The sequence below is a fragment of the Homo sapiens genome, chromosome 20 (assembly GCF_000001405.40).
Source record: "Homo sapiens chromosome 20, GRCh38.p14 Primary Assembly".
In the NCBI taxonomy this organism is placed as follows: Eukaryota; Metazoa; Chordata; class Mammalia; order Primates; family Hominidae; genus Homo; species Homo sapiens.
Window position 1 is genome coordinate 12,735,641 of NC_000020.11, and position 24,501 is coordinate 12,760,141.

Sequence of the window (24,501 nt, forward strand, 5' to 3'; positions counted from 1 at the left end):
TTTGTCTTATCTTGAAGAGCCGTTAGTAAGGACATCAACCCAGAAATTTAAAAATGGCTGCTGTAAATTTGTTCATGGAAGGATAGTATTAAAGACTTTATATAGGTAGAAAGCAACAGTTCAGAAAACTTCCTAACATTTCTGTATTTTGAGTTACAGAGATGCCCATTTTAACGCCCACTTTCTAGAATGTCAAGTAATAACTAAGACTTTATACATAACCCCATTTGTTCCAACTTACCAAGCAACCGCAGTTTTTCTTTTCTTTTTTTTTTTTTTTTTTTGAAAGAGTCTCATTGTGTCACCCAGGTTGGAGTGCAATGGCGTGATCTCAGCTCACTGCAACCTCTGCCTCCCGGGTTGAAGCAATTCTCGTGCCTCAGCCTCCTGAGTAGCTGAGATTACAGGCGCCTGTCACCACACCCAACTAATTTTTGTATTTTTAGTAGAGACAGGGTTTCACCATGTTGTTGAGGCTGGTCTGGAGCTCCTGATCTTAGGTGATCCACCCCCCTCGTCCTCCCAAAGTGCTGGGATTACAGGCGTGAGCCACCGCTCCTGGCCTCACAACTGCAGATTAACAAACTCATAGGTCTATCCTGAGAAGGAGTAAAACAGCCTGGGTTGGAGAGCATCAATCTATACAGAGATGCTACCACCACCCTGCTGGGGACAACCCTGAGGCACATGCTCTACACCAGCTCTCAGGCTTTCCTGGATGGATTCAACCCAAGTGGCCCACAGTCATTACCACTCAACAACACACCCTTTTCCTTCCCTAGCTCACTTCCCCACATCTCAACCACTGCTTTGTGGGATCACTTTTTAATATGTTGCTGGCACTCACAACTTTTTTTTAGGGTCTGCTTCTGGAGAAACTCAATCTTTGACAACCTCTTCACATACTCACACACACCTGGTCATATATCCCAAAGACAAGAAGACATGTTATCACATACACCAGTTAGAGCTAATCCAGAAGCTAATTCAGAAATAAATGCCTCATCTTTCCTTGAGCATAGCTGCACAGGGCCCTGACCTGTCCACATTCCACTGAAATTTGACCAGGAGGCAAATGACGTGGGGAAAGAATTAAACCCATAGATCTCAGCAGCGCATCTCTAGTTATTCCATAACCCCCTTATAGGTGCGTCCTCCTCCCCACTGTATTATGAAACAGCTCTATTTACCAACTTGGATGAAAGATAGATTTAGCTTGTCAATACAGTGATTGCAGGCAACTCAATGGAACTCACAAGAGAATGGAACTCACATAGCTATAAGCTGCATTGTGCTAAATGGTAACACACTGCCTTTCCCCCCACCCCCGACCTTCTCAGAGTGTGTCACTTTAAGAGTGATTCACAGGCTGTTTCTCTGAAGTTTCCCATTAAACACCTGGGTTTGGAAAAAAGCGAACCCAGTTGCCATTGAGAAACTTTACTAAATCAGTCCAAGGACATTACTAAAAATGTCCCAGACTTCCTATATAAGAGAAATTCACCTATAAAAATCCCAAAATGTGTTGCCTTTGCTGCTCTCATCATGCTTTGGAATTTATCCCCATAAGGGCAGAGTTTAGGGACCTGGATACAATTTTATTAAAAGATAGACTAGCAACTTAACAATGATGATGTAGAAAACCCCATTCATAGGTGATATCCTGAACCTTCAGCCTCTGAGATTGGCCACTGGACAATCAGATAAGTAGCCAGCAGCCTTTAGGGAGATCTGAAGGGCCTTGGAGGTGGGTTTGAGGCAGCAGTGTGTTTATCAGGCATTCAGAGTGCTCGAGGCAATAGCCCTTTACCACCCTGTTGCTGTACAGAAGTATTTAAATAGAACAACTATTTTGACCATCCTGGTGGGTGCCAACTGAATATTATGCCATGAGTGGTCATATCTCGGCTCTGGTCAGGGTGACTGACCTCCAGCAGGTATTCTCCATTCCGTTTCTGGTTGCTGCCATATAGTGTGAGCTGGAAAGTGACAATGACTTACCAGTGCTGAGTAACAAAAGCCAGTTTCCTTATCTCAAGAGAAGCAAAATCCTAGCGCAAGCCAGGCTGCAGAGCTCCCCTGAGATCAGGCTAAGGTTGGGGTTTCTAATATTGTGATCTTGCCCGGCTTCTGCCCTTCCCTTGCCCTGTCTCTCTTCCCCATGTCCTCACCAGTATGTCTTGGGAGTCCACAAATTCTGACCTCAAGTTCTGATTCTTGAAGACCTGATCTAACAAACTTTCTAAGTCACAGGTTTGGGATTTGTTTTTTATTTTTTATTTTCTCGACTCTAAATCCCATCGATTCCATTTGTTCCTCTTCTGTTCCTCTTAGGAGCCTCCATTGGTCCCTGTTCCACACAGGTCTTACTTATTTGTGTTGTAATGTTTGCTTTCTGATTCAGAGTCTATGTTCCAATTCCAGAGGACATTGTGTCTCCAAGACTGAGTTCAGTTTTGAAAAATCACCAAGCCTGTTTCTATTGCTTTAGCTATTTCTGTTCTGAATTGTTACTGCCAAATTCCAGGCAAATGTGGAACTGCCAGAGCATGATGTTTCCTCCAAACAAATGGTACTCCTATAGTGTCCTTAACCAATGTAGGAACATTTTTCATAGTTACAGTTATACTGTTACAAATAACAGTAAAAATTATCATGTATTGAACACTTACTAAGTGTGGTCTCCAACAGGGATGTTTTATGCATTATTTCATTTAAGTCTCATAGAAACACTTTAAGGTGGGTACAATTTACTGCAATATACTTTGGGGGAAACAAGGCAGAGAGGGTTAAGGAACTTGGCAAATGTCTCACTACTACCATGTGAAAGAGGCAGACTATGGGCTCTAATCTATCTGGTACTAAAGAGTGGTTCTAATCACACTCTGGTTGTGTCTCCTCATAGGGAAGAGTTGGGCAAAGCTTCCTAGCATTGGTGGGACAAAGGTAAAGCCCAGGTTACTTTTCCAGGTCACGAAAAGCCCCTTAGGCTCGGCAAACCTCTGCCTCTTCTTTCCCATTATCAAGGCTATTGCTCTTGTTACAGCAGCCCAGAACACAGCTGTTCATTTTCTGCCCTGCTGGGGTCCTGCTGTATAATCATCTGTCTTAACCCACGTTTTGTTGTGGTATTAATGTAATGCCACAGAATGAGTAAAATAAAATAAACAGAGATTTATTTGGCTTATGGTTCTGGAGGCTGAGAAGTCCAAGATCAACTGGCTGCATCTGTGAGGGCCTTCTTGCTGTGTTATAACATGGTAGAAGGCGTCACACAGGTGAGAGAGAAAAAAGAGGGCCAAATGCATCCTTTTACCAGGAACCTGTTCCTACAATAACTAGCCCACTCCAGAGATAATGTCATTAAAGCATTCGTGAGGGCAGAGCCCTGGACCTAATCACCTCTTAAAGTTCCCGCTTCTCAATTCTGTTTGCACTGAGCATCCAACACATGAACTTTGGGGGAAACATTCAAACTATGGCCCCCACTCTCATCAAATCACATTATTCCTTTATGTGGTTCAAATAGCCAGCCATTTCATTATCCTCTTCTAAGTTTCTCAAAAAGAACAGTCACACAAAAATATTTCTTAGTAATGTAGAATTGACTGAAGCGAGCATTTTAACAATGATTTATACAGGGAACAATGCAACAAGTCTCTTTAGGTGTAGGGGTCATCTCTCTCCTTGAACTTTCTGTATGCACACTGCTCAGCTGACCTCTGCCCCTTCTTTCTACAAAATTATTAAAGTTCTCTTCCATCCTTTATGTGAATGTGGAAGAAGGCTTAAAGCTAAATTCCATGCAACTTTGTTTTGGCTTCTTGCAGAGTCTGAATGATTAACTTCGTACAAGTAGAAAACTTAAATATATAACTTTACCACAAAATAGATAAACTTGTCACCAATAATTTGGAGAATAAAAATGTCATTGATATTCAAAAAATAAAAATAAAAAATAAATAAATAAATTCTATGCAACTGCCACATATCAAAGGCTGTTTTCAGAAGATACAGTTTTCCCAAAAAATGACTTTCTTCCATCTCCTGCTAAGATGATCATTTTTTCCTATGTGACATATGTAAGTTAAGTAGAGCAATCAATACCGGGTAGAGAGAGCAGCCGTTTTTACCACTGTCCTGGCCCCCAGAAAATGCAGATGAGGGAGGTTTGTGGCTTCTCAAAGCCAAGACAAGATCTTGCCAACTCTTGAGATGCTCTACATATTAATAAAAATGAAAAAAAAGGTCAAAACAAAGTTCAAACGTTGTGGCCAATTGGATGTATTTATCTTGGAAAAAATTCTACAACTTTAATATGTACGTACAAATGTGTAACAATATGATGATGCTATTCGCAGACAGTAGAAGATTTAGTTTTAGCTGAAAAAAATTGTTACGTACTACAAGTTTTGTAATGGTCTGATCATGAATTTGGGTCCAGTACTGGAATAAAAGTCTTTTTAGTCTGTGCCAGGGTATCCTCCTGACCATATGCCTATCTTCATTTGGAGAAAACATCTAGATCTAAACTTAAGATCTATTGTGAATGTGAAGCCCTACTAAATTGACCTCCCTTTCCCCTACCTGCTCCTCATTGCAATATCCCTTGAGTAAGGATCAGTCCAAATAGCTAGATCAATTCTTATTTGAGTAAGAACATTCCTTCCGTATACATTGATTACTATAATATATGGATAGCTATAGATACAAAGACAGAGCATTAAGGGGAAACTATACAGCCTGGCTAAATGAATGGAGAGACACATTTACACAGATGAGTTGCTTTCAGGAGTTTCCCTGAGCAATGAATCAGTCTGTCCAATTGCTGCTTTCATTCAATTCCATAAGTCCTGAAAAACCCCCACCAATAAGCACACTGCCTTGTTGTGTGTGTTGTATGTGCTTGCAGAATCACATCAATCTTGAATTAAGGAAACACCTTGCACTGTACAATCCCATGGTTGATGAAGTTACAAAACACATTGAGTTACTTGACAAGAAATTGCCACCGAAAAATAATGCAATTGCAACCTTAAGCCATCCTAATGCAGCTCCTCTTAAAAAAAAAAATCATAGTGCTCCGTAGTTTGTAGTTTCCACTGGAAATAGTGGCATCAATATCTTGTCAGTGAGAAATTAAAAGGGACATGTCATCCCTTTATTCTTTATAGACTGGAAATGACGGAGCTTCTTAGATGAACAGGCACCATCTAGCTGTGGAGCATGGTAGATGAACTCCAAAGATACAAGTAACAATTATTTCCCTCTCTGTGCCCTCATGTTATTCTCCTCCCCTCAAAACTGAGTTGGCCTTAATGACTTGCTTGACCAGTAGAATGCTATAGAAGTGACGTTCTGGACTTCTGAGGCTAGGTCTCTGGAAAATTCCACTTGGGACTTTCGGATACTTCTGCTTGGATGCCAACTCTATTCTGTAAGAAGCCCAAGCAACATAGAGGGGCCACTTGTAGATTTTCTAGCCAGCAGTGCCAGAGGAGCTCCCAGTCAACTGCCGTCCATGCAGATAAACCATCTTAGATGTCCAGCCCAACTAAGCCTTCAGATGACCATATCTTGATGTGCCATCTGACTACAACTGCATGAAAGACCCAAGGAGAGTGGGTGTATTACACTGTTGTTTTAAGACACTAAATGTTAGGGTGGTTTGTTACACAATAGTAGGAAGAGAAGAGGAGGGGAGGAGCAAAAAAGAAGTCCCTGGAAGGTCTATCAAATTATAAGACCCACCTTACACCTAAAAGACATATCTCAAGAGAAAGGATCTAACTAAGGGATCTGTGTTTTGAAAAGGTGTCCCGGATTCAGTGACTTTTGGAGAAGACCTAGTTAATGTGGAACGGGGTTGCAGCTTGCAAACCTCACATATTTTAATTACTAGATAATTGTGACACACTCTCCTTAAACTAAGAAGCAGTGACTTCAATCTGCTCATTTTATAAATAATAGACTGAGATTGTAAGTGATTCTATGAGGTTAGAAATCCTTCAATTGGTATAGGCTTCAAAGTTATTTTGAGTCAATTAAAGCTAATCTTTATTTCATCCTATTTTAAATGTTGCCTCTTGATATGGAATTTAAATTTGAGGGTTTAGACTCTCAAATTTAGGAGCTCCCTGAACCCTCTTATATTTTCATTGTCATGCTTTTCATCTGAGTAATTAAATTTTAAATTCTATCATGAAGTAATCTTGATTTTTATTTTTTTTTAATTTGTAGAGTTGGCGTCTCACTCTGTTGCCCAGGCTGGAGTGCAGTGGCACACTCATAGCTCACTGCAGCTTTGAATTCCTGGGCTCAAGTGATCCTTCTGCCTCAGTCTCCTGAGTAGCAAGGACTATAGGTACACACCATCATACCTAGCTAATTTTTATTTTTATTTTTTATTTTTGGTAGAGATGAGATCTCACTGTGTTGCCCAGGCTCATCTTGAACACCTGGCCTCAAGCAGTCTTCCCACCTTGGCCTCCCAAAATGCTGGGATTGTAGGCATTTGCCACTGCACTAAGCCTGGAGTAAGGGTAATCTTTAAAGTGAAAGATGAACTATTACTTTATTCTTTTTTAAAATTATTTTATATAATTTATAACAAGTGATACATCTTTATTAACTTCAATTATGTTAACTTTTTGGTTTAGATTAACAGGAGTGGGCAAATTTGCTATGAAGGACCAGAGAGTCAATATTTTAGGGTTTGAGGGTCACATGTAGAGTTTGAATGCCCATGATGTACATTCTTCCTTTTCTTTGCTTTTTATTTTTTGTCTTTTCTTCTTTTTTCCTTCATTTTTTTTTCCTCTTTTTATAATCTTTTAGAAATGTGAAAAACATTCTTAGCTCCAGGATGTACAAGGCTGTGGTTGCTCTTAGTTCACGGGCATGAACAGAAGTTTATATACAGAATATACAGTAGGATGAAAAATTAATGATATTTCATGAATAAAAGGAACTATTATTGGTAGAATATGGTTATTGTTATTATTAATATTTTTGACATGCCTACATTTGCTTTTTATTCCTAGGTTTCTCAACTTATCCTAATAGGGCCAAATGGAAAAAGAAATATGTTCCAATAACGTATTTTCAAAAATAGTTTACAAACGTGTTTACCTGTCAAACATTTCCTTTCACTGAAAGAAAACAGTTTATGATGCATCTTATTCAAATATTACTTTGAAAATGCTGGATTAAACAAAATTAAGCAAGTTTATTTATTGCAGGACTTCTCAGGGCCTTGAATATGTGACTGTATGTTGCGGATTCCAAGAGATGAATGTAGTACTCAGCATTTCCTAAAAGCATTTTTAACTTTAGAAATATTATTTGCAAGATCATTTTAAGGAGATAGTGGTTTCCATAAAGCACTTGGAAACAGCACTTCTTTTATTTGTGTAAATTTAAGGGGTACAAGTGTAATTGTGTTACATGGCTATATTGTGTAGCAGTGAAGTCTGTGTTTTTAGTGTGCTCATCACCCAAATAGCGTACCTTGTACCCATTAAATAATGAAATAAAATCTGAGTTCTAAGAAAATTAGTGAGGGGTATGTGTGAACTAACAAGAAGAAACAGTGGGCTCTGGTTAGTGTGCCACCGGGAAGCATTGTTTCCCTGCTACAATTTAGTTTCTAAAACCATCCTAGGTTAAATATCTCCCGTACACTGCTGTGAAGCCTATCTTTTCACAGGAAAGTCTTTGGAGAGGTGCCTGACAGTTTCTTAAGGATGGTGGGCTGATGTTTAGGTCAGACCAAAATAGCATTCACACTTAGGAACTAACTGCCAACCTGGAAAATTAGCTCTCTGACCAGAAAGTTGCTGAAAACCTCTCTTTCTTTTTAATGTGCCTGACAACTTTAAAATAGAAACTAATAAGAATGCTTATTTCCCCTGATGTGATAAAAGGCTGATAAAATGGGAATTAAAATGATTGACTAAGATGTGAAATTTTGATATTCTCAGCTTTGGTTGCCCATGGTATTTTTTAACCCCTTTACTTAGGGTCATAGATATTTCACTCTACTAATCGCACTTTTATTTCTTTGAAGCTCTTCATTTTGTCATTTGAGTTACAAGATAGCGTAATGGAAAGAACACAGGTTGATGTTGCAACTCAGTTATGCATTAATAATGTGACTTTAAGGAAGTCACTTAACTTAACTGACCTTGTTAGTTCTCTGTAAAATTGATGTGATAAAAAATAACGTAGCATATGAAGAGTTTTTATCATGTCATATACATAGTAGATGGTTAAGAATGGTTTATTTTCTCTGCTTTCTTTCTTTACTTCCCTGTTGCCTAATTAACTCTCAGTTCTAGGCCTGCACAGCACAATATACTTTGAGTAGTTCAAAAAAATCGACACTATAGGAATGAGTTCATGATCTGAGATGGTAAGCAGAGGCAGCAGAGGGTTTCTTTTTGGTATCTACAAGGATGTACCAAAGCTTTGTGACAAACATCCAGAAATTAGTGATTTCCCCAGGGTGAGAAACTGAGTTTTAAAATAATAAGTGATGGAAATACTGGTTTCTGCCAAGCAGCTTTCTCACAAAGAAGACTCTATCTTTGTGAGTTATGCAACATCTTAAGAGCTTTCTACAAGCTCTGAAAACCTTCCCTGTCTTTTCCTGTCAGTCAAATATTCCTGCCAATTTCCATTATTGGAAGGCAGTAGCACATTTACAGTCAAGACACTTCCCTATGCTTCTTTTAGCAATTCTGTGGCACATGTTTGGAATTTACATTTTTCGTATCTCCGACTTTATAGAAGCTCACCAAGGAAATACAAGGTGCCCAAATAGCTGTCAACAATGTTTCCAAAAATATGATTTCTGTATAGTTAACAGATTCTCCATGGCCATTGCTGAGCAAAACTTGACCAGAACCAATTCAAGAAAAGATTAGAGAATCCAGGCAACCCAATTGCCATAGGGGGTGAAATATTTCAAAGACCTGCCTTTCCAAAACAGCATCAAGCACAGATGGTTTCCCAGGGCACTTCGACTAAACTTTGAAAGAACAGATAATTCTAATGTTTATCATCGTAGCTTTGTCTAAAGCACAAGAAAAAAAGAAAGAAAAACTTCAAATTTATTTTTTTCTTTGAAAATACTGTAACACTGCTACCAAAACCTGACAGTCAATACAATAAAAGAAAACTCTAGATCAAGTCCATAATAAAAAGTGATACAAAAATCCCAATAAAATGTTAGCAGACAAAATGCAGCAGCACATTAAAAAATAACACAGAATAACAAGATGGGATTCAATAGAAAAATTTAACAAGGAATACTAATAAATGTATTAATATAATTTATCATATAAATAGACCAAAAGTGGACATTCATCACCATAAATTCTACAAAATGCCTTTATAGAATTTATGATGATAAATGGCATTATATATATATATACATATATATGTACACACATTTATAATGCCACATATATGTCATACACACACATAAAATGCCATATATGCACACATATATGTTAATTTATATATATATACACACACACACACCATATCAAAATCCACTCTTGATTTAAAAAACCAATATGAAGTAGAAATAAAATAATGCTATGAAATATGAATGATTATAGCCTAAAGTCAGCAATAGGTTTATTGGGGAAATACTAAACAGCATTCTCATTAATGTTAGCAATAAGACAAAGATGCTGCTATCACCATTATTAGATAACATTGCTCAAGAAATACCAGCTAATATAAGAAAAATTTAAAAATTACAGTGAGAAACCAAGAAATGAAATAATCATTGCAGAAGTTCATATGAGAAACTGGAATCTAATTTAAAACAAAAACAAACAATTCAAGAATTCAAAAAGTATCTGGGCACAAAAATATAATAATACACAGACTTTAATAACCTTCATACATGCAAATTATTTGAAGATATGATGGAATAAGAAATGTCACATAAAGTAACAATCAAAAAAAGGTACATAAATAAATTTAACAAAAATATGAGCAATCTGTTAAAAAATACATTGTGACACAAAAACATGGAAAAAAATTCCATGTTCTTAGTATCATAAAGTTATTAAGCCCTCCTGGCTTAACTATAAATTGAGGGTGATCTAAATAAAAAGACAAGTAGTATTCTATTTGGAACAAGATAAATTCACTCTAAACTTCATATGAAAAAATGGGCAAGCAAAAATAACCTTGAATATTAAGGGGCAACAGTGAGGGTGGAGGATTAGGGCAAACAAATACTGAAGTTTATTATATAGCCACAGTAATTTGAATATTATACAGCCACAGTAATTTGCATGAATAGTAGTCTGATGCCCTTTCCATCCACTCTGATTCAGCATTTCAATTGGCCCAAACTTTGTCTAATATGGAGTTGGCTTTTCCATTTGTCCCTCTTGTTTTTCCTTCTTGTTTCTAGTGATTTATGTAGAGAGAGGGCATATGGCAGCTAAATACTGTCATCGTCAATCTAGAAATTTCTATTTCCTTTTGTGCCTTTTGAGCTTTTCACCATATACATATATCACTTATTAAAAATAAGTAGGAATGATTTTTTAAAACAAAATAAGGAAAGGTCAAATATTTAGCTTTGGTTATTTAGCCTTTCTAATTTGGTGGTCACATGATCTAACAAAGTCCTGAGGTCTCAGAGAGATGACCACAAAAGGCAAGGAAAGACTTGATTATTCCTGCTTTCACCTTAACAAAAATGAAAACAAAAGTGGTCCAGACTTTACCACTATGCAATTTGTCCACTTAGCCAAAAACCGCTTGTATGCCTAAGCTACTGAAAGAAAAAAAAAAAAGGAAAGGAAAAGGAAGTGCTCAGGTTTTTCAGTTTATTTGTGTTCTGACTGGAAGATGTCAATAAGAATGTGTTCTGCTGTTAAGTGTTTGAGACCCATTGAAACACTGTCTCTGCAGTTTATGACACCATGGATGCACTTAAAGGTAAATGTTTCCCCTGTGTATATGGCTGCTGAGCATAAAACATAATTTCACTATTTTAAATTCTTTGTATGATGTATCATTTTTATGTATTCACTACAGCAATTGTTCATAATTTTTTAGAGTTACTCAATACTGAGTCCTTGATGGGAAATGCAACCCTTAATTTTACTACTATTGCTTTAGAAACTTTATTTGGATTCCTGTTCATCTAGTTCATTTACTATTGGGGCTTCCCTGAATACCTGCTGGTGAAATTGAGAAGTTCCCTTTTTAATGCTTAAATTTTGGAAGAAAATCTATGGTCCAGTAAGATACACAGTGAAGTGATAAGTTGCAGTGGCCTGCTCCATAATTTATTAATATTCGGCTTAGTTGCTTCAGCAAATAACTATACATTTACTTTATACTGACATAAAGACAACACATTATGGATCCAGAATTTCATAGTTTGCTATGTTCTGGGGAAATATGCCTTGAAGGCTTCTTAAGTCAAAGTTAAAATATAATTGATAGAACTCAGCAGTTTCAATCAAAGAATGAGTGTTGTGATATGGATTGCAAATCAGAAAAGTAAAGGTGAGTAAAATTTGCTCTGAATGTATAAGTTTTCCAATTGTTATCTCTTAATCCTCCAATAGGTGTGGAGTCCAGAGTCACACAGGGAAATGGAGTGCAAGATGGGGTTCACAGATACAGTTCTTTTGATTCCTTCTCAAATGCTAAAGGCCCTAGATTTGATGTTGCAGTTAAGGACTAAAGAAAAGGCAGATGAGGTGGCATATCATCTCCTCTGCATTTTATATTACTAGTGTCTCATGCCTGTACTCTCAGCACTTTGGGAGGCCAACGTGGGAGGACTGCTTGAGCCCAGGAGTATGAGACCAGCCTGGGCAACATGGTGAGGCCATGCCTCTATTATATATTTTTTTTAAATGTTAAAAGAATTCACAACTTATGACTTGAAGGTGGGTGGCATGTCAGAAATGGCTATATTTGGTCAGGTACGGTGGCTCACACCTGTAATCCCAGGACTTTGGGAGGCCGAGGCAGGAGGATCACCTGAGGTCAGGAGTTCGAGACCAGCCTGGCCAACATGGTGAAACCTCATCTCTACTAAAAATGCAAAAATTATCCCTTTGTGGTGGTGAGCGCCTGTAATCCCAGCTACTTGGGAGACTGAGGCAGGAGAATTGCTTGAACTCAGGAGGCGGAGGTTGCAGTGAGCAGAGATCACACCATTGCACTCCAGCCTGGATACCAAGAGTGAAACTCCATCTCAAAAAAAAAAAAAGAAAGAAAGAAACGGCTACATTCTTCATTAACTGAAAAAAAAAAAAAAGAAAAAGAAAAGTAGGAAAGAAAAACACCAGAGCTGATCAATATTGGATTTACTTCAAAATTCCCTGGTGCTAGGGTTTTAGATAACTGTCTTCCTTTATTCCTGATTCCTTCAGCAAACATCTTTTGAGCTTCCATCATGTGGAACTGCCTACAAAGTGCAGGAGACCAGATGATTAAACGCATCATGGTTCTTGCCTTCTAAGTATCCCACAGTCTGGTGATGGAGACAGACATGGTATCACTTCATAAAGAAAGAACTGGCGGTTTTCTTAGGACCCCACAAAGTGTGTGTGTGGAGGAGGGCAGCTATGATGGGATCTGCTGGGGGTGGTTAGGGAAGGCATCCCAAAAAATTAAAGAAAAGCTGCATTTAGAAGACATAGACATGTGATATCAAGAAACATCTTGGGCCAAGGCTAAACAACTACACAGAGATCTCTTTGATTGTCCAATTAGGCAGAGACACAGGAGTATGTGCAGAAGTGAGAGGAACAGGACCCAACTGAGATCTCCAGCCTGGCCTATACAATCTTGTGGCAGAAAGTTAAGGGAGCCCATGGGGTCTGATTTTCTTCCTCTCCCTTTGGAAGGCAGAGAGGAAAACAGCAGGGTTTCTTTATTCCCCCAATTAGTGGTAAATTGTATTGCTGAAACTCTCTGACACATGCCTACCACACTAGCCTAGAGTTACATCAGTTTTAACTTCTGGTACTAATATCAGCAAGAGACAAAGGGAGAGAGAGAGAGAGAGAAAAAAAAGAGTATTTCATTTGACTATTCTTTGATCACCACCTGCAATAACAACCTTGGGGGAGCTTTAGCATTTGATGAGAAATCTGCAGATTCAGAAATGCTATGTCTGCAAATTCAATCATGTACTCAGTTTCGTTGTGTGACTCTGGGCTTCACACATACTTGGTAATTATAAAGCAGCAACTGGAAAACCTATAAACTCAGAGCAAATTTCATCCACTTTTAATTTTCTGATTTTCAGTCTACATCACAATATTCACTCTTTGGTTAAAAATGTTGTACTCTACAAATTATATTTTTGCAGATCATCTTTCTTAAAACACGCATTCAGCATTTTCATCTTAGAAGCTACTCCACATTAAGTAACACCATTTCTGCAAACCGTAACTTTAATCACCATTTCTCAAAATACGTAAATTCACTGTTCATGGTGGATTTACTTAATCAAGTATCCATGGTATGTGAGTGTGTTTGCGTGCATGTGTATAGGTTGTACATTGCATTTCATTGACATTCTTCTCGGCACTTAGAAAAGGGGTTGTTTGCACATAGTAGGAATTTAATAAGTTGAAAATATGAAGGACATGGTATTCCCACTAAAAGGATGTAATCATTTTGGATTAAATGTGAATAACCATCTGGATCTACAATCAGCCATCCAGGGTAGACACCCAGGTGTTATCAACCTACCACCTGCAATGAAGAGAGGGCATTGGAGGGGCGATTCAAATCAGTTTCCACTTTTTTAAACAGGAATTAAAATAGAAATGTATTTTGTCAGACTGGAAAATGCCATTTTGAAAACCATAATTGTGAACTGCATTTTCCCAACAAGTTATGATGGTAGACACCCACAAACAGCTGTTTGTGGCTTCCTTGAGTATAGGAACAACACAAGAAAGAAACAAGCTAACAGTGTATATAGTCTCTCCCAGGTGCTCTAGCCACCACCTCCAGCAAGCCTGGAAACCAGCTGACCTGTGAAAGTCCAGCCAAGTGACTGCTTCAGAAGTGATTAGAGATGGCCAATAACCGCCTCTCAGGAGTTCTGCTGAACTCAGCTAATGCCACTTTGCTTGGAATTTAAATCAAATTGTATTCTGTCCATTAGGAGATAAAGAAACAAATGTATCTTAAACCTGTCTTGTCTCTTTCTTCTCATCACTCTCCCCACTACCTTGGCCAAGATTTTTTTTTTTTAAGATAATGGGAAAACAGTCTGCATTTATTGCTTCAGGTGCTGAGTTCAGACAAAACTTTTCCTTTGTCCACTGGGATGGCTTTCATGTTTGGAAAGAACTCTTGAAAATGCAGAATTAGCCCATCTGTTCCATTTTCAGTTTTCTGTGGAGACTCTGCTTATTCTGTCTTTCATAGACTCTGGTTCCAAACTATACTCATGTTATAACCATTGTCGTCTCCTATATCTGTACTTACATACTTCCCTGTTCAATAAATTGCTACTGAAACAATGAGAAAAATCTAAAACCGTAAAACTGACTACTTTCATTTGCTTTTTCATTCTATAATGCAGTTGTTCTGGAAATGATGCAGAAGGGCTGGACCCCGGCTAAACCCCACTCTTAAGCCTGGAACCATGGCCCTAAGTGAAAACAGCTGACCCCATTTTTCTGTGCAAATGTTGCCTTTTTGGCCTGCCCCGCCCCTATCTTGTGCCCATAAAAGACTTCAGCTGGCAGAGCAATACTAGCGGCTGAGCTTTGAAGATACAAGTGGCTGAGTGTTGGAGACTACAGACAGACAAAGCTAACTTCAGAATGTACAGCTTCGGAAAGGGGCCCAGCTGGAAATAGCCGGGCTTCAGAGGAAGATCACCCTCCCTTCCCCTTTCCAGTCTCCCTTTCTGCTGAGAGCCACCCACCGCTCAGTAAAGTCTTCCACATTCATCACCTTTCAAACATTCCTATGACCTGATTCTTCCTGGATGTCGGACAAGAACCCAGGTGCCAAGAGGGCAGGGGCTGCCACCCTGACCCTCCACTGAGCCAGTTGACACTTGGCCATCCCTAGATGGCAGCTGAAAGAGCTTTGGTTGTAACACACTTGGAGGCTGCCGTGAGGTCTGCACAGAGCCTGCTCCCACCAGAGAGGAGCCACTGACTGGTTCTAGCATTCATTCACTCTGGTTCCTGCAGTCCCTTGCTCACATACTCCCTCCTGTGAGGAATGGCCAGCAGCAGACTATGATATGAGCCACTCCAGTTCCAGCCTGTGAAGGGGGTCAAGGGAACTATCCCATCTCAGTACAGTATTATATAGTTACAAATTTTCGGAGTATCTTAACTGAGAAGAAAATGGCATTGTTTTCCATACCAATTAGAATAAGAAATGCTTGCAAAGAATGACAGTAAAGGTGTGGTGGCTCATGCCTGTAATCCCAGCACTTTGGGAACCAAAGTGGGCAGATCCCTTGTTGCCCAGGCTTGGCAACATAGCAAGACCTTGTCTCTACAAAAAATACAAAAAAAATTAGCCAAGCATGGTGATGCATGCCTATAGTCTCAGCTACCCAGGAGGCTGAGGTCGGAAGATCACCTGAACTCAGGATCGGGGGTGAGTCAAGGCTGCAGTGAGTGAGCCGTGATGACGCCGCTGTGCTCCAGCCTGGGTGACAGAGTGAGACCCTATCTCAAAAATAAATAAATAAATAGTATTACATCTTAAAAGCTTTACAAATGCTTTCATACAAATGTAAATTTCTTACAGGAGAGTCCATCTAAAGAGTACCTGTATGTTCATTAAAATAATCTAAAGAATTTAAAAGTCGTTACCTCTAATAAATGATATCTTTGCCCTCAGTGTGTAAAATTATGTTTAGTTATTTGAATATTTTGTTTAAAAATACTTCTCTACCTGTTGTAGTGTATATAGGCTAAGTAATTTAGTAATAAAGCATTGTTTTAGAAACTCAATTTGGGAAATTTCCAGTTGTATGATTAGTGTGTTTCTATTAACACATGATAGGACCTTTAGTTAACTGTAACGGGCAGCATTTATTGCTTGCTTAGTGTGTGGAACATCTTGTCCTAGACATTGTACTTGTATTAATTGGTTTATTTTCATATCAACTTTCTGAAGTACATGTTATTATTTGATCCATTTTATAGATGAATAATTTGAGACACAAAAGGGTTAAATAGCCCAGGTGCAGTGGCTCAAGCCTGTAATCCCAGCACTTTGGGAGGCTGAAGCGGGTGGATCACTAGGTCAGGAGTTTGAGACCAGCTTGCCCAACATGGTGAAACCCCGTCTCTACTAAAAATGCAAAAATTAGCTGGGTGTGGGGGCGTACCCCTGTAATCCCAGCTACTTGGGAGGCTGAGGCAGAAGAATTGCTTAAACTCGGGAAGTAGAGGCTGCAGTGAGCCAAGATTGCACCACAAGAAAAAAAAAGGGTTAAATAATCCACAAAAGTTCTCATGGACAGCAAGTGTCCACGTGGTATAGAGTCCTAATTTTTCCAGTCTTAGCCTGTGCTGTTATCCACTCTAATATGCTGTGTTCTCTATGCAGCCTTGCTAAGGAGTGACCTGCAGTCATTACCATTTGTTGGCTCTTTAGAGTGATATAAGGAATGCCTCTGTTGAGGAGGCTAATTGTCCTAGGACTCTGGGTTTCTGCTACCAGGAAAATATATATACACATTTAAAAAAAAAAATGGAAGCATGAGATTTCTAATTCTTTATTTTGCTTTGGGAAAGTATTTTTCTAAAAAAAAAAAAAAAAAATACCCACCCATTAAATTGTCACATAAAGGAGAGAAAATTTTAATGTCAAAATGTTGAGAAGATATCAAACTAGATTTAGCTTTACAAGAATTTTACTACACTGCCTTTTTGTTTCTCTTTCTGCCGTGGACTAGAAAAAGTTGTCACAGTTTAACATTGGCCCATAAACCCATTCTCAAAATTTTCTGCTCTAGAGTATATCGTCTACATTGTCTTTTGCTCTCTTCCTCCTTCTTAATCTTCTTCTTCCCCTTGTCCTCCTCTTACCTTTCTCCTCCTCCTTCCCTTCTTTTTCCTTACTTGTCCCCTACTGGTAGTCATCAAGGATTTGGTCAAATAGAAGCCAACAGGAAGAAAGAAAGGATCAGGGCTTGGAAAACCTACATGCTTAATAACCATTCTGTGGCTATTTAAAAATTAATAATAGTGGGTGGTTATTATTAACCCAGTACTGTCCCTCGCTCTTGAATCAATGTATCAAATGTTCTCACTGTCAGGCCTCTGAGCCCAAGCCAAGCCATCACATCCCCTGTGACTTGGACATACACGCCCACATGGCCTGAAGTAACTGAAGAATCACAAAAGAGTGTGAATATGCCCTGCCCCACCTTAACTGATGACATTCTACCACAAAAGAAGTGTAAATGGCCGGTCCTTGCCTTAAGTGATGACATTACCTTGTGAAAGTCCTTTTCCTGGCTCATCCTGGCTCAAAATCACCCCCACTGAGCACCTTGTGACCACACTCTGCCCGCCAGAGAACAACCCACCTTTGACTATAATTTTCCTTTACCTACCCAAATCCTATAAAATGGCCCCACCCCTATCTCCCTTCGCTGACTCTCTTTTCAGACTCAGCCCACCTGCGCCCAGGTGATTAAAAGCTTTATTGCTCGCACAAAGCCTGTTTGGTGGTCTCTTCACACAGATGCGCATGAAACTCACATTCCTGTAATTTTTTTTTTTTTTTGGCTCCCTCTCTTTGCTTTATCTTCCCATGTGCAGGATATCCTCCTGCCCTTTCCAAACTCATCCCAATCTCCAAAGCCCTTTTCTGATATCAGTTCCTTCATCAAAATGCCACCATCTGTAGCACACCCTGCCACTGCCTCCTGTTTCTCTTCTGCACTGACCCTCCTTGCTCCTCATATAAGGTAAATCGGAAGCATATTCCACATCATTTCCTGGAGCTTCCCAATGAGATTGAGCTCCCATTGTCCCCAGTGATAATTTACTTAAAAACTCATGCTTTATCAATATCCCCTCATGCTTCAGTGTTTCCTGGGAGTGCTTTCCCAATAAACCACTTGCTCTTGGATCCTCATCTCAGAATTTGCTTCTAGGAAAATTAACTAAGATAGTATCTGTCAGGCCTCTGAGCCCAAGCCAAGCCATCACATCCCCTGTGACTTGCACGCATATATAAGCCCAGATGGCCTGAAGTAACTGAAGAATCACAAAAGAAGTGAATATGCCCTGCCCTACCTTAACTGATGACATTCCACCACAAAAGAAGTGTAAATGCCTGGTTCTTGCCTTAAGTGATGACATTACCTTGTGAAAGTCCTTTTCCTGGCACATCCTGGCTCAAAAAGCACCCCCAATGAGCACCTTGCGACCCCCACTCCTGCCCGCCAGAGAACAAACCCCATTTGACTGTAATTTTCCTTTACCTACCCAAATCCTATAAAACGGCCCCACCCTTATCTCCCTTCGCTGACTCTCTTTTTGGACTCAGCCCACCTGCACCCAGGTGAAATAAACAGCCATGTTGCTCACACAAAGCCTGTTTGGTGGTCTCTTCACACGGACGCACATGAAATTTGGTGCCATGACTCTGATCGGGGGACCTCCCTTGGGAGATCAATCCCCTGTCCTCCTGTTCTTCGCTCTGTGAGAAAGATCCACCTACGACCTCAGGTCCTCAGACCGACCAGCCCAAGGAATATCTCACCAATTTTAAATCTGGTAAGCGGCCTCTTTTTACTCTCTTCTCCAACCTCCCTCACTATCCCTCAACCTCTTTCTCCTTTCAATCTTGGCGCCACACTTCAATCTCTCCCTTAATTTCAATTCCTTTCATTTTCGGGGAGAGACAAAGGAGACACGTTTTATCCGTGGACCCAAAACTCCAGCGCCGGTCACGGACTGGGAAGGCAGCCTTCCCTTGGTGTTTAATCATGGCAGGGATGCCTGATTATTCATCCATGTTTCAAAGGTGTCAGACCACACAGGGACGCCTGCCTTGGTCCTTCGCCCTTAGCGGCAAGTCCCGCTTTTCTGGGGAAGGGGCAAGTACCCCAACCCCTTCTCTGCTTTTCTGGGCAAGGGGCAAGTACCATAACGCCTTCTCTCCTTGTCTCTACCCCTTCTCTGCTTTCCTGGGGCAAGGGCAAGTTTCCCTCAACCCCTTCTCCTTCACCCTTAGTGGCAAGTCCCGCTTTTCTGGGGGGGCAAGAATCCCCAATCCCTTATTTCCGCACCCCAACCTCGCATCTCTGCCCCTCGATCCCTTATTTCGGTGCCCCGACCCCTTACTTCTGTGCCCCATCCCTTATTTCTGCCCCCCGACCTCTTATCTCTGCACCCCAACCCCTTTTCCCACTTTTTTGGAAGGTAAGAACCCCCGAACCCCTTCCCTCCGTTTCTATACTCTCTCTTTTCTCTAGGCTTGCTTCCTTCACTATAGGCAACCTTCCACCCTCCATTCCTCCTTCTACTCCCTTGGCCTGTGTTCTCAAAAACTTAAAACCTCTTCAACTCACACCTGACCTAAAACCTAAATGCCTTATTTTCTTCTGCAATGCTGCTTGACCCCAATACAAACTCGACAGTAGTTCCAAATAGCCAGAAAATGGCACTTTGAATTTTTCCATCCTGCAAGATCTAAATAATTCTTGTCGTAAAATAGGCAAACAGTCTGAGGTGCCTGACGTCCAGGCATTCTTTTACACATGAGTCCCTTCCTAGTCTCTGTGTCCAGTGCAACTCATCCCAAATCTTCCTTCTTTCCCTCCCACCTGTCCCCTCAGTACCAACCCCAAGCGTCACTGAGTCTTTCTAATCTTCCTTTTCTACAGACCCATCTGACCTCTCCCCTCTTGGCCAGGCCGAGCTAGGTCCCAATTCTTCCTCAGCCCCTCCTCCTCCACCCTATAATCTTTTTATCACCTCCCCTCCTCACAACCCTGGTCCAGCTTACAGTTTCATTCCGTGACTAGCCCTCCCCCACCTGCCCAGCAATTTACTCTTAAAAAGGTGGCTGGAGCCAAAGGCATAGTCAAGGTTAATGCTCCTTTTTCTTTATCCCAAATCAGATAGCGTTTAGGCTCTTTTTCATCAAATATAAAAGTCCAGCCCAGTTCATGACTTGTTTGGCAGCAATCCTGAGAAACTTTACAGCCCTAGACCCTAAAAGGTCAAAAGGCCGTCTTATTCTCAAAATACATTTTATTACCCAATCTGCTCCCGACATTAAATAAAACTCCAAAAATTAAATTCCAGCCCTCAAACCCCACAACAGCATTTAATTAACCTCGCCTTCAAGGTGTACAATAATAGAAAAAAGTTGCAATTCCTTGCCTCCACTGTGAGACAAACCCCAGCCACATCTCCGGCACACAAGAATTTCCAAAAGCCTGAACCGCAGCAGCCAGGCGTTCCTCCAGAACCTCCTCCCACAGGAGCTTGCTACACATGCCAGAAATCTGGCCATTGGGCCAAGGAATGCCCGCAGCCCGGGATTCCTCCTAAGCCGCGTCCCATCTGTGTGGGACCCCACTGAAAATCGGACTGTTCAACTCACTTAGCAGCCACTCCCAGAGCCCCTGGAACTCTGGCCCAAGGCTCTCCGACTGACTCCTTCCCAGATCATCTCGGCTTAGCGGCTGAAGACTGACACTGCCCGATGGCCTCAGAAGCCCCCTAGACCATCACGGACACTGAGCTTCCGGTAACTCTCACAGTGGAAGGTAAGCCCGTCCCCTTCTTAATCAATACAGAGGCTACACACTCCACATTACCTTCTTTTCAAGGGCCTGTTTCCCTTGCCTCCATAACTGTTGTGGGTATTGACGGCCAGGCTTCTAAACCTCTTAAAACTCCCCAACGCTGGTGCCAACTTAGACAATACTCTTTTAAGCACTCCTTTTTAGTTATCCCCACCTGCCCAGTTCCCTTATTAGGCCGAGACACTTTAACTAAATTATCTGCTTCCCTGACTATTCCTGGACTACAGCTGTATCTCATTGCTGCCCTTCTTCCCAATCCAAAGCCTCCTTTGCATCCTCCTCTTCTATCCCCCACCTTAACCCACAAGTATAAGATACCTCTACTCCCTCCTTGGCGACCGATTATGCACCCCTTACCATCTCATTAAAACCTAATCACCCTTACCCCACCAAACGCCAATATACCATCCCGCAGCACGCTTTAAAAAGATTAAAGCCTGTTATCACTCGCCTGCTACAGCATGGCCTTTTAAAGCCTATAAACTCTCCTTACAATTCCCCCATTTTACCTGTCCTAAAACCAGACAAGCCTTACAAGTTAGTTCAGGATCTGCGCCTTATCGACCAAATTGTTTTGCCTATCCACCCCGTGGTGCCAAACCCATATACTCTCCTATCCTCAATACCTGTCTCTACAACCCATTATTCTGTTCTAGATCTCAAACATGCTTTCTTTACTATTCCTTTGCACCCTTAATCCCAGCCTCTCTTCACTTTCACTTGGACTGACCCTGACACCCATCAAGCTCAGCAAATTACCTAGGCTGTACTGCCACAAAGCTTCACAGACAGCCCCCATTACTTCAATCAAGCCCAAATTTCTTCCCCATCTGTTACCTATCTCGGCATAATTCTCATAAAAATACATGTGCTCTCCCTGCCAATCGTGTCCGACTGATCTCTCAAACCCCAGCACCTTCTACAAGACAACAACTCCTTTCCTTCCTAGGCATGGTTAGCACAGACAGAATTCTTACGCAAGAGCCAGGACCACACCGTGTAGCCTTTCTGTCCAAACAACTTGACCTTACTGTTTTAGCCTAGCCCTCATGTCTGCGTGCAGCGGCTGCCGCTGCTTTAATATTGTTAGAGGCCCTAAAAATCACAAACCATTCTCAACTCACTCTCTACATTTCTCATAACTTCCAAAATCTATTTTCTCCTCATACCTGATGCATATACTTTCTGCTTCCCGGCTCCTTCAGCTGTACTCACTCTTTGTTGAGTCTCCCACAATTACCATTGTTCCCGGCCCAGACTTCAATCCGGCCTCCCACATTATTCCTGATACCACACCTGACCTCCATGACTGTATCTCTCTGATCCACCTGACATTCACCCCATTTCCCCAAATTTCCTGGTTTCCCGTTCCTCACCCTGATCACGCTTGATTTATTGATGGCGGTTCCACCAGGCCTAATCGCCACACACCAGCAAAGGCAGGTTATGCTATAGTACAAGCCACTAGCCCGCCTCTTAGAACCTCTCATTTCCTTTCCATCATGGAAATCTATCCTCAAGGAAATAACTTCTCAGTGTTCCATTTGCTATTCTACTACTCCTCAGGGATTATTCAGGCCCCCTCCCTTCCCTACACATCAAGCTCGAGGATTTGCCCCAACCCAGGACTGGCAAATTAGCTTTTCTAAACATGTCCTGAGTCAGGAAACTAAAATACCTCTTAGTCTAAATAGACACTTTCACTGAATAAGTAAAGGCCTTTCCTACAGGGTCTGAGAAGGCCACCACAGTCATTTCTTCCCTTCTGTCAGGCATAATTCCTCAGTTTAGCCTTCCCACCTCTATACAGTCTGATAACAGACCAGCCTTTATTAGTCAAATCAGCCGAGCAGTTTTTCAGGCTCTTAGTATTCAGTGAAACCTTTATATCCCTTACGGTCCTCCGTCTTCAAGAAAAGTAGAACGGACTAAAGGTCTTTTAAAAACACACCTCACCAAGCTCAGCCACCAACTTAAAAAGGACTGGACAATACTTTTACCACTTTTGCTTCTCAGAATTCAGGCCTGTCCTCAGAATGCTACAAGGTACATCCCGTTTAAGCTCCTGTATAGACGCCTTTTTATTAGGCCCCAGTCTCATTCCAGACACCAGACCAACTTAGACTGTGCCCCCCCAAAAAAACTTGTCATCCCTACTATCTTCTGTCTAGTCATACTCCTATTCACCGTTCTCAACTACCCATACATGCCCTGCTCTTGTTTACACTGCCAGTTTACACTGTTTTTCCAAGCCATCACAGCTGATATCTCCTGGTGCTATCCCCAAACTGCCACTCTTAACTCTTGAAGTAAATAAATAATCTTTGCTGGCAGAACTATGCTGAATCTCCTTAGGCACTCCCTAATCAGATATCCTGAGTCATCCCAATTCTTAGACCTTTTACACCTGTTTTTCTCCTTCTGTTATTCCATTTAGTTTCTCAATTCATCCAAAACCGTATCCAGGCCATCACCTATCATTCTATACGACAAACGTTTCTTCTAACATCCCCACAATATCACCCCTTACCACAAGACCTCCCTTCAGCTTAATCTCTCCCACTCTAGGTTCCCACGCCGCCCCTAATCCCGCTTGAAGCAGCCCTTAGAAACATCGCCCATTCTCTCTCCATACCACCCCCCAAAAATTTTCGCCGCCCCAACATTTCAACACCATTTTGTTTTATTTTTCTTATTAATATAAGAAGGCAGGAATGTCAGGCCTCTGAGCCCAAGCCAAGCCATCGCATCCCCTGTGACTTGCACGCATATATAAGCCCAGGTGGCCTGAAGTAACTGAAGAATCACAAAAGAAGTGAATATGCCCTGCCCCACCTTAACTGATGACATTCCACCACAAAAGAAGTGTAAATGGCCGGTCCTTGCCTTAACTGATGACATTACCTTGTGAAAGTCCTTTTCCTGGCTCATCCTGGCTCAAAAAGCACCCCCACTGAGCACCTTGCGACCCCCACTCCTGCCTGCCAGAGAACAAACCCCCTTTGACTGTAATTTTCCTTTACCTACCCAAATCCTATAAAACGGCCCCACCCTTATCTCCCTTCACTGACTCTCTTTTCGGACTCAGCCTGCCTGCACCCAGGTGAAATAAACAGCCATGTTGCTCACACAAAGCCTGTTTGGTGGTCTCTTCACACGGACGCACATGAAAGTATCTGTATGAGTCAGATTTCATGCTGCTGATAAAGACATACCCGAGACTGGGAAGAAAAAGAGGTTTAGTTGGACTTACAGTTCCACATGGCTGGGGAGGTCTCAGAATCATGGCAGGAGGCAAAAGGCACTTCTTACATGGTGGCAGCAAGAGAAAATGAGGAAGAAGCAAAAGCAGAAACCCCTGATAAACCCATCAGATCTCCTGAGCTTTATTCACTATCACAGGAATGACCAGCCCCCATGATTCAATTACCTCCCCCTGGTTCCCTCCCACAACACGTGGGAATTCTGGGAGATACAATTCAAGTTGAGATTCGGGTGGAGATCCAGCCAAACCATATCATTATCTTAATTGACATCAGTGTCCCGGTGGTCTTCTGCCAGTGAATGATACCTACTATTACTAAAGTATGTCCCTCAAAGATGAGTGCCATAGCAAAAGACCTTTGTAAAATAATAAAAAAAAAAAAACTGCTCTCCTACGGGAGCTGAACAGAAGT

General features: G+C 41.1%; 8 annotated features.

Moving 5' to 3' along the window:
- Positions 12,569-13,246: an enhancer, noted in NCBI's record as "OCT4-NANOG hESC enhancer chr20:12728856-12729533 (GRCh37/hg19 assembly coordinates)". NCBI's record gives its function as "activates a minimal SCP1, AML or CMV promoter by ChIP-STARR-seq in naive H9 embryonic stem cells {active_cell/tissue: H9 hESC(naive)}" and the evidence as "EXISTENCE:reporter gene assay evidence [ECO:0000049][PMID:30033119]".
- Positions 14,593-15,114: an enhancer, noted in NCBI's record as "H3K27ac hESC enhancer chr20:12730880-12731401 (GRCh37/hg19 assembly coordinates)". NCBI's record gives its function as "activates a minimal SCP1, AML or CMV promoter by ChIP-STARR-seq in naive H9 embryonic stem cells {active_cell/tissue: H9 hESC(naive)}" and the evidence as "EXISTENCE:reporter gene assay evidence [ECO:0000049][PMID:30033119]".
- Positions 15,115-15,635: an enhancer, noted in NCBI's record as "H3K27ac hESC enhancer chr20:12731402-12731922 (GRCh37/hg19 assembly coordinates)". NCBI's record gives its function as "activates a minimal SCP1, AML or CMV promoter by ChIP-STARR-seq in naive and primed H9 embryonic stem cells {active_cell/tissue: H9 hESC(naive and primed)}" and the evidence as "EXISTENCE:reporter gene assay evidence [ECO:0000049][PMID:30033119]".
- Positions 16,812-17,777: an enhancer, noted in NCBI's record as "OCT4-NANOG-H3K27ac hESC enhancer chr20:12733099-12734064 (GRCh37/hg19 assembly coordinates)". NCBI's record gives its function as "activates a minimal SCP1, AML or CMV promoter by ChIP-STARR-seq in naive and primed H9 embryonic stem cells {active_cell/tissue: H9 hESC(naive and primed)}" and the evidence as "EXISTENCE:reporter gene assay evidence [ECO:0000049][PMID:30033119]".
- Positions 17,778-18,743: an enhancer, noted in NCBI's record as "OCT4-NANOG-H3K27ac-H3K4me1 hESC enhancer chr20:12734065-12735030 (GRCh37/hg19 assembly coordinates)". NCBI's record gives its function as "activates a minimal SCP1, AML or CMV promoter by ChIP-STARR-seq in primed H9 embryonic stem cells {active_cell/tissue: H9 hESC(primed)}" and the evidence as "EXISTENCE:reporter gene assay evidence [ECO:0000049][PMID:30033119]".
- Positions 18,744-19,708: an enhancer, noted in NCBI's record as "NANOG-H3K27ac-H3K4me1 hESC enhancer chr20:12735031-12735995 (GRCh37/hg19 assembly coordinates)". NCBI's record gives its function as "activates a minimal SCP1, AML or CMV promoter by ChIP-STARR-seq in primed H9 embryonic stem cells {active_cell/tissue: H9 hESC(primed)}" and the evidence as "EXISTENCE:reporter gene assay evidence [ECO:0000049][PMID:30033119]".
- Positions 20,585-21,140: an enhancer, noted in NCBI's record as "H3K27ac-H3K4me1 hESC enhancer chr20:12736872-12737427 (GRCh37/hg19 assembly coordinates)". NCBI's record gives its function as "activates a minimal SCP1, AML or CMV promoter by ChIP-STARR-seq in primed H9 embryonic stem cells {active_cell/tissue: H9 hESC(primed)}" and the evidence as "EXISTENCE:reporter gene assay evidence [ECO:0000049][PMID:30033119]".
- Positions 23,438-23,949: an enhancer, noted in NCBI's record as "OCT4-NANOG-H3K27ac hESC enhancer chr20:12739725-12740236 (GRCh37/hg19 assembly coordinates)". NCBI's record gives its function as "activates a minimal SCP1, AML or CMV promoter by ChIP-STARR-seq in naive and primed H9 embryonic stem cells {active_cell/tissue: H9 hESC(naive and primed)}" and the evidence as "EXISTENCE:reporter gene assay evidence [ECO:0000049][PMID:30033119]".